The sequence below is a fragment of the Homo sapiens genome, chromosome X (genome assembly GCF_000001405.40).
Source record: "Homo sapiens chromosome X, GRCh38.p14 Primary Assembly".
Classification (NCBI taxonomy): Eukaryota; Metazoa; Chordata; class Mammalia; order Primates; family Hominidae; genus Homo; species Homo sapiens.
In genome coordinates this window covers 51,216,657-51,234,030 of record NC_000023.11, presented here as the reverse complement: position 1 = coordinate 51,234,030, position 17,374 = coordinate 51,216,657, and the positions used below count along the sequence as shown (strand labels likewise).

The 17,374-nt window shown below is 40.0% G+C and overlaps 1 long non-coding RNA gene across 1 annotated transcript in view; it reads left to right on the top strand.

Annotated features, from left to right (window-relative positions):
* Positions 1-13,048, top strand: part of LOC105373204 (uncharacterized) — a 175,604-nt gene extending 162,556 nt beyond the window's left edge. Inside the window, exons 6-7 of the long non-coding RNA XR_007068239.1 lie at positions 9,788-9,884; positions 11,064-13,048. This is a non-coding gene — a long non-coding RNA (uncharacterized LOC105373204). The remainder of the gene's footprint in view (positions 1-9,787; positions 9,885-11,063) is intronic.
* Positions 13,049-17,374: the final 4,326 nt, after the last annotated feature.

Here is a 17,374-nt window from a genome sequence, read left to right as displayed (position 1 = left end):
AATCTCAAGATCTTTAACTTAATCACAATGTAAAGTCCCTGCTGCCATTTCAGGAAATATGTTCACAGATTTTGGGGATTAGGACATGGATATCTTTGAGGGTTAATCATTCAGCCTACTGGAGGTCCTCAATTACATTCTCCCACTTTTATGTCCTGAGTCTTCAAACTGATCATTAGCAGAACTATTTGGGACCAATATAGTATTGCTGTTGAACATTGCACCTCAGATTCTCCTAATATTAATGCTCTGCAGCAAATAGTATAATCTGCAAAATCCACTGAATTCTTCCCAGACTCAGCTGTGGCTTCCAATACCCTAGCCTGTGGGTATTGTCTAGAAAGGGAGTTTGAAGAGGGTTGGTGGTAGGTAAAATAATTAGGCTGGGGATCCCTTCCTAAGAAAGCAAACATTTCTGAGAAGCATAGGGATGAGAGCACAGATGATAGTCACCCTACACTGAGAGAATTAAGGAACTCTTTAATGGAGACAAAGATTACAGGCTACAAGAGGAATGAAATATTGAGGTAAAGAAGGGGCAGAGAGAGGAAATAAATTCTGGGAAGAGGGAACAGCATGTGAAGAGATGCAGAGATGAAAGAGTGTGGCTGATTCAGGAATCCTACAAACTATTTCAGTATGGCTGAAGGGAGAAAAAGTAAGATAGGTTGGAATGAGATGGAAAATAAGGGGATAGCATCCACTGGTCTAACTGGAATGGAGAGAAAGACAGGAAGAATGTCAAATATGTAATACATATTGGGCAATATGCTAGTTGATTTATATACATTTTCTTCACTAAATCTTCACCATTAACCTGAGTGAACATTTTTATAGAATTATAAAATTGGATGGTGTTAGGTAGCAGACTTGAAATTCCAGCCCAGCTCTGCTTAACATCAAAGACCATGGTCTTTTCACAGTTAGTGCTTCCCAAAATGTGGTATGCAAACCATGGATGGAGCCTAAGGAATTGTTGTGGCATACAGACGTTTTTGTTGCTGTTATTTTTTAATTGTAATATATTTGTTTATTATTTTTAAAGCAAGATTTCATCTACATGTAGGCCTTTTTGGGGAAATAAACAAGAGCATTTCCGAGCATATCCCAAGGGGAAAATGCCATAAATTCCCCTCTAAACATTACTCTTTTTTTTCTGATGTTTCTCAGTAAGCAACAGCTACCTATCAGAATCCTCCATGCCTTGACATTCCATGCCCCCACAAAGCAGCTCCAAGTCTCTCCTCTCTCCCCACCACTTACTAAATGTGTTTTCCTCATTTTACTAATGTCTCTGTGCCTCAGTTTCCTCATCTATACATTGAATATAATGATAGGAACTACCACATGTATTGTGATTATGACTAAATGAGTTAAAGCTCATAGAACAGTGCTTGAGATATGGGAAACACCATAGAAGTATATTTTTTAAAAATCTTCAATAGACAAATAAATCTCTTTCATAAATATCTTCTTTTGGGTGTCTACCACCCCATGTCTGGGTTTAAAGCCTTCATCACCTGCCAGCCATCTGCTGTAACTCCAGTTGTCCCTCCAACCTCCCACCACTAGCCATCAATCCTCATATTGTTTCATAAATAGGACAATCTGGCTTCTTTCTCAGATTTATTACATTCTTCCCATAAATTACCAACTTTGCACCAAAAACCTTCCTCAAAAAACCACAATTCTTGTTAAATGGCAGGAAGTTGTAAATAACAGTTATCTCTTCATCTCAAAAATACTTAAAAACCAAAGTTGTTTGTTACAAGGGTTAGTTTCAGCGAAGAAAATTAACCCTATAGAGAATGGCAGGGAATAACAAAATGCCAAAGAAGACAACTAAGCATGTAAGCAAGTTGGCTTTGCCAAAAGCAGATGAGTTCTGAAGTAGATGATGAGACTTAACAATATAGAGCAAGACAGTTTATTACTCACAGTACAGCAGACAGCAGGAGCATAAGTATGAGAGGACTAATTTCCCTTCCCTCAAGTCCCATAAGTCCCAGATGGTGGCTTCACACATAGTGTGTTATGGCACAGCTGACAAACCAAAGAGCAAGGGCTCTGCCCCTTTTGTAACAAACAAGTTAGTTCCCTTTCCCAGGGAATGAGCAGTCACACAAATAGTTAAGCTAAGGTCACCTCTGCCTATTTAATTGCCTATGTGACTAGCTACAGAAACTGCTCTGTATTGAGGGACAGTTGAGCATTGTAGTTTGGACATGCAGAGACACTTGGGGCTTACAGTGGACTGCCTTTTCCAACAGTTAGAAAATCCATGTACAGAATTGTACACAAGGGGTAAAAACAAGAGTCAGTTTTTACTGACTCTTGCACAGAATTTGGTCACTTAATATGGAGAGAAGCATGCACAGAATTTGGTCACTTGATATGGAGAGAAGTCTCAGGAATTGGGAGCACCTGCAATTTTTTTTTTTTTTTTGAGACAGAGTTTCGCTCTTGTCACCCAGGCTGGAGTGCAACCTCCACCTCCCAGGTTCAAGCAATTCTCCTGCCTCAACCTCCCGAGTAGCTGAGATTACAGGCATGCACCACCACGCCCGGCTAATTTTGTATTTTTAGTAGAGACGGGGTTTCTCCATGTTGAGGCTGGCCTCAAACTCCTGACCTCAGGTGATCCGCCTGCCTCAGCCTCCCAAAGTGCTGGGATTACAGGCGTGAGCCACCACACCCGGCCTGCAATTGTTAAAAGGTAGGATGAAAATTGTAAGAAGCTGTAACAGAGAGAAAAGGAAGAGTAAAGAGTGGGAATTGCTAGAGTATAAGTTGGGGAGTTCCCATATTGTAGGACTCTGGAGCTTTAGAATAAAATAAGTCCTAGGATCAAATTATGGCTCTCCCATATCTATGCAAGAGAATAACAATGCATACATTGAGGAAACAATGTGAAGATGAAATAACACACATAAGACACAATAATATGTAAGATCGCCTGTATTTCTTGTTAATATCAGCTTTCCAAATTTTGCTATTTTTGTTTTCATTGTAATTATTTTTATGGAAAGTAATCCTCTTATATACATAAAAATATGCATACAATGAAATGACTGTCTTCCTATGACAAAAACCCTTGAGTTAATACAAAAAGGACTGAAGTATAAAAAAATGCTGCTTAAGTCATGAGGTATATAGATAATTTTGCTGGTGTCTGTGTAGGTTGATGAAGAAAAATGAGTGAGAACTCTAACCCTCCAACACAAAACAGGTGTCTACAAGATGTTGTACAGTGCCTGATACACAAAGATGTCATATATTGTTACCTACATAGATAGGATCTACTGTACTACTCCAATTAGAAAATTGGAAAGAGGGCTATTACAATCAGTGTTATTATAAAATTTAATTATTTAATTTAGCATCCATTGATGTCTATTAGATTTCAGGAAGTATCCTGAAAGCTTGATATGCAAAGACCAATCACTCAAGGCCCTCTCAAAGATCAAATATCTTAGTGAAAGAAACAATCATACGAGCATATGGGTCTTAGAGGATAAGTTACTTATTAAAGGCCACAGAACTAGTAGTGGTAGTAATAAGTTGTCCACTCTAGTTTGCCCAGTCTGTAGTCCCATGCAATTGTTTTAAGCCAAACTTTCTCTTATACCATTCTCCAATTTAACTTACTTCCCTTCCCTTGGCTCTCTTTGCCCATAAATTATTAAAATATGCACAATAAGTTAATAGACTTGGACCAGGAAACAACTTCCAGGAAAGATTGCTGGGAGCCTCCCTGTATTTTCCTGATGCTTCCCCAGAGAATAACTCTGGAAGTGAAGCTCTCCTCATCTGTTGAGTGGGGCAGGGCTCTAAGGCAGGGTTTTCACCTCCCTTTCCTAGCTAACAGTTGTTCCAAAAGAACTGCTGTCTCTTAAGTCATTGACTCCATTTAAAGGGCAATGATAGAAGGGACAATACCAGCCCCCAAGCTCTTCAAATTATGTAAATCCTCCATTATCTTCAGAGGGGGCCTCTAATGCTGCTGTCACAGTCTAAGCTACCTAATCCTTTCTGATGTATAAAAATGTCAGATAGTTGTACTTCACGCTGGTTGGTTTCAGTATAGATCTTCAGAACTCTTAAGTTAGTCTTTTGAGGGATAGTACCACTTTGAGAATTCCTGGATTTCCCAAGTATCCTTCTATGTTGGGGGAAGGTGGTTCTGTCATCAGAAATGACATCCACATTTCAACAACTGTAACATAAGCAATATTTCCAAGGGGAATGGAAAAAGACCTACCTTTGGAGTCCAACAGGTCTGGATGTGAATCCAAATTCCATTTAACTACCTACATTACTTAACTCATCACAGCTTATTTCTTCAACTGTATAAGAGGAATTGTAATATATATCTCTCAGGTCTTTGGGAAATAACAAAGGTAGTCAGGCACACAGCTGATAGGCAATGTAGGTCAGCATCGAATTGGTATGTTTATGTGATTCCTCTATATTGTTAAGCTCCTCATGGCATGGACCTTGTGTGAATCATCTCTGTGTTCTTCAAACCCCTAGCACAACATTTAAAACACAGTGTCAATGAATTCTTATGGAGCACAGTTGACCAGGCCTCAGAATTTTAGTATGAAAAACAAATGAGCATTTCAACTCTGATGTTTTACAGTTCTGTGAAAACTGTTCATATGCCCAATGTAGATATTGATATATGTCATACATAAATTAAAATGTCGCTGAGTTGTGATTCTTGCCATGATGCTTTTCTTCTGTGCTGTTGGGCTATATGGCACTAGGACATGACTGCAGCACTTCCAGTACTAGATCCAGATGGGGCAATACACAGAAGCTGAATTATTTGGTCTCTTCGTGCAATCTACCCATGTAACAAACAGGCACATTTACCCCCTGGACCTAAAATAAAAGTAGGGAAAAATCCTATGGTAAATTCCTAAGATTTTGTGTTACCTTGACATCCATTTTTGGTCTCCCTTTAACACACAGGAACTCCTTTTAAAAACTTCAATTATCTCTCTGTGTGTGCTTTGAGATATAAATTTGCTACCCGGTTTTCTCTGAAACTCATGCCTCTGGTCATGTGGGACTGGTAAACTTTACCCTTTTCCATTTACAAAGGCACAGTTTGAATTCAACTGTCCTTTTAAACTAGTGAGTTTCACAGCCTCACAGCTAAAATTTTAAAATCAATGCTATAACATATTTGTGTCTTTCTGTAATTTTATGTATACATGCTTGCATGTCTATGTTTATATATTATCTATATAACATTAAATTGACTCATTAAAAAAAGATTTGTCTTTTACCTCTTTTTTTTTAAGAGCAGAGAAATAGATCCAAGGAGAACTACAGCAAATATCGCCTCAGGGTGCATTGCTCAGCACTGGGCTACACTTCCAATCATAAATCAGTCAAGGAAAGTTCTTTTTTTTTTTCTTTTTATTTATTTATTTATTTATTTTTTTATTATTATACTTTAAGTTTTAGGGTACATGTGCACAACGTGCAGGTTTGTTACATATGTATACATGTGCCATGTTGGTGTGCTGCACCCATTAACTCGTCATTTAGCATTAGGTATATCTCCTAATGCTATCCCTCCCACCTCCCCCCACCCCACAACAGTCCCCAGTGTGTGATGTTCCCCTTCCTGTGTCCATGTGTTCTCATTGTTCAGTTCCCACCTATGAGTGAGAACATGTGGTGTTTGGTTTTTTGTCCTTGCGATAGTTTGCTGAGAATGATGGTTTCCAGCTTCATCCATGTCCCTACAAAGGACATGAACTCATCGTTTTTTCTGGCTGCATAGTATTCCATGGTGTATATGTGCCACATTTTCTTAATCCAGTCTATCATTGTTGGACATTTGGGTTGGTTCCAGGTCTTTGCTATTGTGAATAGTGCCGCAATAAACATACGTGTGCATGTGTCTTTATAGCAGCATGATTTCTAATCCTTTGGGTATATACCCAGTAATGGGATGGCTGGGTCAAATGGTATTTCTAGTTCTAGATCCCTGAGGAATCGCCACACTGTCTTCCACAGTGGTTGAACTAGTTTACAGTCCCACCAACAGTGTAAAAGTGTTCCTGTTTCTCCACATCCTCTCCAGCACCTGTTGTTTCCTGACTTTTTAATGATTGCCATTCTAACTGGTGTGAGATGGTATCTCATTGTGGTTTTGATTTGCATTTCTCTGATGGCCAGTGATGGTGAGCATTTTTTCATGTGTTTTTTGGCTGCATAAATGTCTTCTGAAAAACAAGCAATGGGGAAAGGATTCCCTATTTAATAAATGGTGCTGGGAAAACTGGCTAGCCATATGTAGAAAGCTGAAACTGGATCCCTTCCTTACACCTTATACAAAAATCAGTTCAAGATTGATTAAAGACTTAAACGTTATACCTAAAACCATAAAAACCCTAGAAGAAAACCTAGGCATTACCATTCAGGACATAGGCATGCGCAAGGACTTCATGTCTAAAACACCAAAAGCAATGGCAACAAAAGACAAAATTGACAAATGGGATCTAATTAAACTAAAGAGCTTCTGCACAGCAAAAGAAACTACCATCAGAGTGAACAGGCAACCTACAAAATGGGAGAAAATTTTTGCAGCCTACTCATCTGACAAAGGGGTAATATCCAGAATCTACAATGAACTCAAACAAATTTACAAGAAAAAAACAAACAACCCCATCCAAAAGTGGGTGAAGGACATGAACAGACACTTCTCAGTCAAGGAAAGTTCTTCGAGAAAGGAGGCATATTGTGTGAGGTGGGGAGTGTGATTATGCAAGTGCTTAATGAGTGGCTGATTACTGGGTCCAGCAAGATAATGCAGAGTAAAAACAGTCCAATGGTGAGTTCACAGATTTCAAGAATGAGGGAAAGCCAGCATGAAATTTGCCTGCCATTTACCTGTTTAATGGCATCAGTATAAAATAGTCCAATATTTAGTAATAGTTAAAGCCTTGCAAATGGGAATGGAATGGGCATTGACTATGATTGTTTCCATGGCTGGCCAAATATTTATCTTCTGACTGATTTTTTTTTCTGTAACTATGATAAGTTTTTTTATTCTGAAGTTTTAAAGACTCTTTGCAAATATCCTCCTTGGTTTTATAGTTCAAACTTAGAGGACAAATGTATTTACTGGGGATCTTAATCTTGTACTCCTGTCCACCATGAACACCCATTGGATACCTTTTACATACTGGAGATTTCTCCTAGGCTTCAACATTTGGACATGTTCATATAAGAAGCTTACCTATGAGATAATCGTGGCTTCAGATCACAAGTGTAAGGACCAAATAAACTAGTGTCCACTTGTCATATAAATCCTAAGAGACATGGAGATGCTGCTGTAATCCTTACTTATCTGAAATAGGACAGATTTGAGACATGCTGATCAGTGACTCACAGATAGCTAATGTTACTGAACATTTACCATGATACAAACACTTTCTCAAATGTTTTAATCACGTTATTCCTTTTAATCAACAATACATGGTACCTATTAGTTTAGGTATAGGTATTATATTCAATTTTATGGATTAAGACAGTGATAGAGAGGTTCCGTGACATGCTGACAGTCACTCAGCACACAAGTAGTGGAAGCAGGGTTTTTATCCAGGCAGTCTCCCTCCAGAGCCCAGACATGTAACTACTGTGACACTGCTTTCACTCCAATGGCTAAGACAGGGGAGATGCTCCAATTCTTTTCTTATTTTGGGGAAGTTACTGTGACCCAGTGCAAAGGGCATAGAAAATGTAAATACAAATGTGCCTTCTGATTTTCTCTGAAGATGAATGAAAGAAAATATGCTTAGCACCTGGCATTTATGTAGAAGCCCAAAAGAAAAAAGTGACACAACTTTTTTTCATGTTATGTAAGAGTAGTAATAACCAAAGCATAGGAAGATAAACGTTCAGAGTATTTCGCAACTGTCTTATCAGATCACCTCCTATGTATCTGGGTATCTGGATAGGGTTTCCTCTGAAAAAGAAGAATGGTTCCCTATAAAATATTCTTGATGAAGATGGGTTTTGAGGCCTAAAATGAAGGCACTGTAGAACTCCCCCCTTCTTAGACTGAGATAAGGGAAAAGTTTTCCAACACTCTCTTTTGGGCTGGTAGTAAGTTTGGTTATGATTCTGAGCTGGAAATGCTTATAGAAAATTCTGGTGGTGGGGGTGGTAAACTGCTGCTGGCCATTTGGAGGCAGGCCAGGAGCCAGGCAGGAAATTAGCATAGTAAGGGATTTCAGAATGCATCTGAAGTCTATGCTTGGTTCTAAGTCCTAGTGTTTGTGTTACACTTCTCTCCCACAGTTTAAGAAGTTTCAGTAAAATCTCAGTAAATATTACAGCTTGGTTTTTGCTGTGTGATATGGTTTGGCTGTGTCTCCACCCAAATCTCGTCTTGAATTGTAGCTCTCATAATTCCCACATGTTGTGGGAGGGACCTGGTGGGAGATAATTGAATTATGGGGGCAGTTTCCCCTATACTGTTCTCATGGCAGTGAGTAAGTCTCACAAGATCTGATGGTTTTATAAGGGGTTTCCCTTTTGACTTGGCTCTCATTTTCTCTTTTGCCTGCCACCATGTAAGACATGCCTTTTGCCTTCTGCCATGATTGTGAGGCCTCCCCAGCCATGTGGAACTGTGAGTCCATTAAACCTCTTCTTCTTTAGAAATTACCCAGTCTTGGGTATATCTTTATCAGAAGTGTTCAAAGTGGACTAATACACTGGGAAATTAGGGAAAGCCCCAAGTCCATGCCTGGAGTAAAGAGGTAGAGGTAAGACAGCAGGATTCCCTCCACTGAAGTCTGAGTGCTAATGGCTGAGGCAGTCCCCAGCCTAGAACCAAAGTTCCCTGAGGAGGAATATCATGAGGGACAGTGGAGGGTTCAGTGGCAAAGATCGAGTGATGTGGCAGCAGGACAAAAAGTCCAGACTAGACAGAAGGACCCTGAGGAACTTTTCCACATCACAGGAAAAACAGCAGCAGAACCACTTCTATAAAACCTGATTCATCAAGCCAAATTATAAAAAGGACAACCCATCTCATTGATCAGGAAGATGGCTTGGTTTTCTTGTTTTTGTTATTTTAACAAGGGAAAAATTACCATCAGTACAGAAAAACTCTTGCACAGAGGCTAAAAACTATGTAACCTTTTAGTTTTGTTTTGTTTTTGCTCTGTTAATCCCAAACCTAGTTGGTAGATCATGGAAAAAGAGATGAAGTATTTAAATAAAGAGTAGATCCAGGTATTCAGGGTAGTAAGGAATGATAATACTCAGAATTTCAATTAAGGTCACTGGCTCTGGGGACAAACATTTCTATGGTAAAAAGTATGGCTCTGCCATTAACCAGCTGAGTAGTCTAGTGATTGTTGCTAAACCTCTGGGAGCCTTTATTCATCTGTAGACAAAAGCTGATGGTGGCACCTATGCAAAAATGTTTAACTAGTGTAGATGTGTTGAAAGGGTCACTCTCATAAACTGCTGGTAGTACTGTGGAGTGATTCAATCTTCACGAAAATCAAGTTGTATCAAAGATTAAATATGCACGACCACCAAATCAATCATGTACCTTCAACAATTTATTCCAGAGGACATAAATGGACATGTGTACAAACATGCAAGTAAAAGATTATTCACTCATGAATCTTCATTGGCATGAAAAAAATCTTAAGTGTACATTAAATCTTATCTTAAAGTTCATTAACTTTCTCTGGGATGCATTTTCTGACTACATTTAAATAAAGCTATTTTCCTTTCTTCCCAGGAAGGTATGTGGCCCTTCCTGAGGTGTGTTCTAAGTTGGTCTCCTAGGGTCCTGAAGGGGACTCCTGGATGGTCTGTGGAAGGTGTTCTACCTAGAGGTGAGAGGGTTGTGGAACAGGGACCTTGGGTTCTAGGGTGTGTGGGTCTCCCTAAACTCTAACACAGGGGTCCCTAATGCCCGGACCACAGACCAGTACCAGTCAGTGGCCTGTCAGAAATGGGGCTGCACAGCAGGAGGTGAGCAGCGGGTGAGCCAGCATTACCACCTGAGCTTTGCCTCCTGTCAGATCAGTGGTGGCAGTAGATTCTCAAAGGAGCGTGAACCCTATTGTGAACTGTGCATGCGAGGTATCTAAGTTGCATGCTCGTTATGAGAATCTAACTAATGCCTAATGATCTGAGGTAGAACAGTTTCACTGGTTCCTGGTGCCAGAAAGGTCGGTGACCACTGCTCTAACACACACACCCGTCAGCCAGTACCTCACTGCAATTTCACTGCCTCAGTGGCTCCACATCATTGCCTGTGCACTGGCTGTGTATGTCCCCCGAGGAAATGTCCCTTCTAGACAAAATGTTTGGAAAGGTTTTCATGGGCTCCTCTACTCCTGTATAGCAGCCCCATGCTTGTTTGCCTCCTCCTTCACAGGAATCCCTCCATTTAGGGTTAAAAACCGCTCCTCTCTCCATTTTCCTGTATCTTCCTCCCTCTTCTTTCCTCATCCTCCCTATTTTTTCATTTCTGGACCCTTCTTCTAAGATGTTATAAGTTTCTGAAAGGAACTCAATGTCCAGCTTCTTTATCTCTGCCATAATTCTGGATGTAAAGTAAGATTGAAGAGAAGGAGTGGGGAGATGAAGGGTTAGATAAAGAAGAGATGGAAAAAAGGGAGAGAGAAGAGAGAAGAAGTGGATGAGAAGAAGAGAGAAAAGGAAGAGAGGAGAAGGAGGAAAGGAGGGAAGAAAGAGGAGGGAAGGAAAAGAATATGAAGAAGGGAAAGAAAGGAAAAGGGAAGGGAAGAGTTGAAGGACAGTGGAGGGAGAAAAGAAAAGGAGAAGGCGGAAAGAAGCATGGGGAAGGATTAGAGGTGGAGAAGGAGAACATTGGGAAGCAGAGGAGAAGGAGCAGAAACAGCAGGTGATGGAAGAGGAATAAGAGCAGAGGAAGGATTTCATGTAGAGGGGGATAAAGAGAAAAAAGGAATTCGTATGTCTGAGGATCCCAGGGACAGCTTTCCCAGGTGAGAGCTGGGTTCAACTATTCTGTGTTTCCCCCATAGGCAGCCTCTTATGGGGGTGGCTCCTGCCCACCTCTGCTGCTTATGCTGCAGTTACTGGTGTTGCTTGGAAGCTGCCTCCAGGACGTCCTTCACCTTTCTGTTCTCCTCAAACCACTTTCTGGAGGGCCAGCCAGAAGGATTTTGGAATCATCATTCCATCCCTCAACTCCTCCCTTCAGCTTCCCTTCATTGTGCTGTGGAAGAAGAGCTCTTCGCTGAATGCAGAGTGGATGTTTCCATAGAACAGCTGGCTCATTTGACTCCGCAAGTCCTCCTACTTTACCTGTCGGTTTATCATCAGCTTCTCTTTGGAAGTAAGCAAGGCAGGGTGGGGGCCTCTTACCTCTGACCTCACTTTCCTATCCCTTGCATTGCATCAGAAAGATCCTCTGTGTCTCTATGGGGAGAGGAACCAAGGAGGCCCTGTGAGAGCTCACAGGAATAATTGGGATTGTGGTTCTTTGTCTCCATTTCCAACCTCCAGAGTTCCTATCACACAGATTGGGCCCCTATTAAGACAAACCTGCATCTATTCATCCTGTTGGCCTTGGCACATAGCAAGGGGCCTGGCATAATTGCCACATATTTGTAGGAACTGAACAGAATCTGCAGGTGCCAGAGCAATCTGTCTGTACCTGCTGCTGTTTCTGTCTTCCACAAACTGACAAAAAAGAGGAACTCTTTAAGTGTCTATCAGAAATGAGTAATTTGTTCTGTGATTATTTATTTTACACACAACACAACACATACATACAAATATACAACAAAGGTGGTCTTCTAAGAAAAGTCTAGGGTGCTCATTTTTTTGTCTCTATCTTTGGATGATTTTTCTTTGCTCTCATCAATGGTGAAGGGATGTTAGATGTATTTATGGATATATAGTTGGATGAGTAAATGGCTGGATGACTACATGGAGAGATGATAAACACATGCTTGAATGAATGGATGAGTGGTCATACAGTTGGATAGATGAAGAAATGAATGAGTCAAAGGATGTATGGATGAATAAATAAATCCATACATTTATGGATGGATGATGGCATTAATTTTTGGATGGATAAATGGACAGATAAAGAGTTTTATAGATGACTGTATTGATAGTGGGTAGACAAAGGATGGATGATGAAATGAATGCATGGATGAATGAATGGATAGGTGGTTGGGTTAATTGTTGGTTGGATGAATGGATAAGTGGGTAGATAGTTGTATGGATGAATGGTTAGTTGCAAAGAGTGGAGGAATGGAAGACTGGAGGGATTGGATGGGCAGAGAGAAGAAGGGATGGAATACTGGGTCAACATATGGCTGCTAGGATGACTGGAGGGTTGAATGGATAAAGAGATAGTTAATTGAACTAAATACTGCTACTCTTAAGTTCCTACCTGGTTTTGGCCTGGCTGGATCTCTATGTCTTTTCTCTATTTCTTACCCTGGTTTTGTCTTGCTATTTTTCTCAGAGAGTAGGGATTAAAAAATAATAATTGTTCATTTTGCTAGAAATTGATTCAGTTCATTTATTCCATAAACACTTATTCAGTTCCTATACTACATGTCAGACTTTGGGCTTGGGTTGGTTAAAAACTCAATCGAAAAAAACCCTGGGGAGTGTTATTTTCCATTAGGGAATCAACAGACTGGTGAGGGGAGATACTAAGTTCATTACCATACAAGTAACTATGTCGTTATTTATGAAAATTATATCTATCAGTGAGTGAAGTGTTCCAGTTAATGGCAAATTCAAAGGCTTTGAAATGTGTCTAGCAAATGTCTGGGAATATTGAGGAAACTAGCAGCATGACTGGGTGGTCTCAGCCAAGAAAAGTGGTAAAAAAGGAAATAAATGGAGAGGGGCTAGATAAACATCCTGGTTGCAGCTCATTGACAGGACATCTGTGTTTACTATGAGTAAGGTGGGAGGTAGGGAGAGGTTTTTACTGTAAAAGAGATGTGACTTAATTTACGTTTCAACAAGATTCATCTGTCTACTACAGAGAACTTAGCTTTTTTTTTATTATTATTATACTTTAAGTTCTGGGTTACATGTGCAGAACGTGCAGTTTTGTCACATAGGTATACACATGCCTTGGTGGTTTGCTGCACCCATCAACCCATCACCTACATTAGGTATTTCTCCTAATGTTATCCCTCCCCTAGCCCCCCACCCCAACAGGCCCGGGTGTGTGATGTTCCCCTCCCTGTGTCCATGTGTTCTCATTGTTCAACTCCCACTTATGAGTGAGAACATGCGGTGTTTGGTTTTCTTTTCCTGTGTTAGTTTGCTGAGAATGATAGTTTCCAGCTTCATCCATGTCCCTGCAAAGGGCATGAACTCATCCTTTTTTATGGCTGCATAGTATTTCATGGTGTATATGTGCCACATTTTCTTAATCTTTAGCTTTCATTGTATGGTTAGGGCAGAAGCACAGAGAAAGGGAGAGCATGGCTATTAGATGCCTTGCTTTTTCCTCAAGACCACCTCTAGGCTCAGCTGTTTTGCATTCACTGGAACAAAAAAAAAAACCAGTGACCCTTCCAAACCTTAGGGACCACACCCTATCCTGCCTCCACAACTCCAATTTTGGGGAAGGGACTTCTCTGATGTCACATGAAAGGTCTTGTGCAGACCCAGGAGTGGCCTAAATTTCTTCCTTTTATCTCATCTTCTTCACCTAGTGAAGGTCACTCTGAAACCAGACCTTTCACTTTTGTGTGCCCATGTCCCTACAAGTGCTCAAAGGCTCTGGCATTTACAAATGGTAGTGTGAATATGGTGCAGAATAAACCTGGTTTTATACAAACCTTAAATTATGTAGGAGAGATATGATAACAAAGATGTAAATATATCAAGTCAGGTGAGGATAAGGGCTATAAAGAAAAAAATAACAAGCAAGGAAAAGGGAATGGGACGTGACCAGATGTGGAGGGGCAGGTACTATTTTGTAGTTGGGAAGATAAGTTAAGATCTCTATAAGCAAGCGAAGTTTCAGCTGAGAGCCAGATTACTAGAGGCAATGAGAAGATATCTAGATTATCATGGGCAAAGAGCACTACAGGCAGGGGAAACATAATAAAAAGTCCTTGAAGACCAATAAAGAAGAAAACAGAGAAGAATAAAATAAACACAATCAGAAATGATGAAGGGAATATTACTACTGACCCCACAGAAATTAAAATAGCCATCAGAAACTACTACAAACACCACTGTGCATACAAACTAGAAAACCTAGAAGAGATAGATAAATTCCTTTCAAGACTGAACAAGAAAGAAATGGATTCCCTGAACAGACAAATAATGAGCTCTGAAATTGAATCAGTAATAAATAGACTACCAACAAATAAAGCCCAGGACATGATAGATTCACAGCCAAATTCTATCAGATGCCGAAAGAAAAGCTGGTACCATTTCTACTGAAACGCTTCCAAAAATTGAGGAGGAGAGACTCCTCCTGAACTCATTCTATGAGGCCAGCGTCATCCTGAATATCAAAACCTGGCAAAGACACAACAACAACAACAAAAACTTCAGGCCATTATCCTGACTAACATCTATGAAAAAATCCTCAACAAATTACTTGCAAACAGAATGCAGCAGCACATCAAAAAACTCATCCACTACGATCAAGTAGGCTTCATCCCTGGGATGCAAGGTTGTCCAACATATGCGAATCAATACATGTGATTCATCACATAAACAAAACTAAAGCCAAAAACCACATGATTACTAAATAGGTGCAGAAAAGGCTCTTGATAAAATTCAACACCTCTTCATGTTAAAAACTCTCAATAGACTAGGTATTGAAGGAACATACCTCAAAATAATAAGAGCCATCTAAGACAAATCAACAGGCAATATCATACTGAATGGGCAAATGCTGAAAGCATTCCCCTTGAAAACTGGCATAAGAGAAGGATGGACTCTCTCACCACTCCTATGCAGCATAGTATTGGAAGTCCTAGACAGAGTGATCAGGCAAGAGAAAGAAATAAAGGGCATCCAAAAAGGAAGAGAGGAAGTCAAATTATCCTTGTTTGCAGGCTACATGACCCTATATCTAGAAAACATTATAGTCTCAGCCCAAAAGCTCCTTCAGCTGATAAGCTCCTTCAACTTCAGCAAAGTTTCAGGATACAAAATCAATGTACAAAAATCACTAGCATTACTATACACCAGCAGCAACCAAGCTGAGAGCCAAATAAGGAAGGCCATCACATTCACAATTGTCATACAAAGAATAAAATAACTAGGAATATAGCTAACAAGGGAGGTGAAAGATCTCTGCAGTGAGAACTACAAAACACTTCTCAAATAAATCAGAGAAGACAAACAAATGGAAAAGCATCCCATGCTCATAGGTAGGAAGAATCAATATCATTAAAATGGCCTTACTGCCTAAAGCAATTTATAGATTAAATGCAATTCCTATCAAACTACCAATGACATTCTTCACAGAACTAGAAAAAAACTGTTTTAAAATTCGTATAGAACCAAAACAAAGCCCGAATAGCCAAGGCAATCCTAAGCAAAAAGAACAAAGCTGTAGGCATCATGTTACCCAACGTCAAACTATACTACAGGGGGCCAGGCACTGTGGCTCATGCCTGTAATCCCAGCACTTTGGGAGGCTGAGGAGGGCGGATCACCTGAGGTCAGGAGTTCGAGAACAGCCTGGCCAACATGGTGAAACCCCATTTCTACTAAAAGTACAAAATTAGCCGGAAGCAGCAGTGCTTGCCTGTAATCCCAGCTACTGAGGAGGCTGAGACATGAGAATTGCTTGAACCTGGGAGGTGGAAGTTGCAGTGAACCAAGGTCATGCCACTGCACTCCAGCCTGGGTGACAGAGCCAGACTCCATCTCTAAAAAACAAAACAAAACAACAAACAAACTATACTACAGGGCTACAGTGACCAAAACAGGATGGTGCTGGTGGGGGAAAAAAAAAAAAAAAAAAAAAAAAAAACAGGCACATAGACCAATGAAACAGAATAGAGAGCCCAGAAATAAGGCTGCACACCTACGTCCATCTGATCTTCAACAAAACTGACACAAACAAGCAATGCAGAAAAGTTTCACTATTCAATAAATAGTGCCGTGATAACTGGCTAGCCATATGTAGAAAATTGAAGCTGGACACCTTCCTTACACCACATTAAACAATCACTTCAAGATGGATTAAAGACTTAAATGTAAACCCCAAAACTATAAAAACCCTGGAAGGCAACCAGGGCAATACCATACCGGACATAAGAATGGGCAAAAGTTTCATGAGAAACCAAAAACAAATGCAACAAAAGCAAAAATTGATAAGTGGGGTCTAATTAATCTTAGTTTATTTTGCTGTGCAAAATCTCTTATCAACAGAGTAAACAGACAACCTACAGAATAGTAGAAAAATTTTGCAAACTGCTTCTGACAAAGGTCTAATATCCAGTGCCTATAAGAAACTTAAATTTACAAGAGAAAGACAACCTCATTAAAAAGTGGGCAAAGGACATGAACAGACACTTCCAAAAGAAGACAAACATATGGAAAAAAAGCTCAATATCACTGATCATTCGAGAAATGCAAATCAAAACCACAATGAGATACCATCTCACACCAGTCAGAATGGCTATTAATAAAAAAAAAACAGATGCTGCCATGGTTGTGGAGAAAAGGGAACACTTATACACTATCAGTGGGAGTGTAAATTTCAACCATCGTAGAAAGCAGTATGGCAATTCCTCAATGAGCTGAAAACAGAACTATCATTCGACCCAGCAATACCATTATTGGGTATATACCCAGAGGAATATATATCATTCTACCATAAAGACATGGTGTATGTTCATTGCAGCATTATTCACAATAGCAAAGATGTGGAATCAGCCTAAATGCCCATCAGTGACAGATAGGATAAAGAAAATGTGTTACATATACACTATGGAATACTATGCAGCCATAGAAAATAACAAGATCATGTCTTTTGCAGAAACATGAATGGAGCTAGAGGCCATTATTTTTAGCAAACTAACACAGGAACAGAAAACCAAATACACACGTTCTCACTTATAAGTGTGAGCTAAGTGATGAGAACTCATGAACGCAAAGAAGGGAACAACAGACACTGGAGTCTACTTGAGAGTGGAGGGTGGGAGGAGGGAGAGGAGCAGAAAAGATAACTATTCGGTTCTGAGCTTAGTACCTGGTTGATGAAATAATTCATATAACCAACCCCTTTGACATGAGTTTACCTATGTAATAAACTTGCACGTGTAACAACCGAACCTAAAAGTTTTTTTAAAAGCCCTTGAGGTGGGAGTGTGCTCTG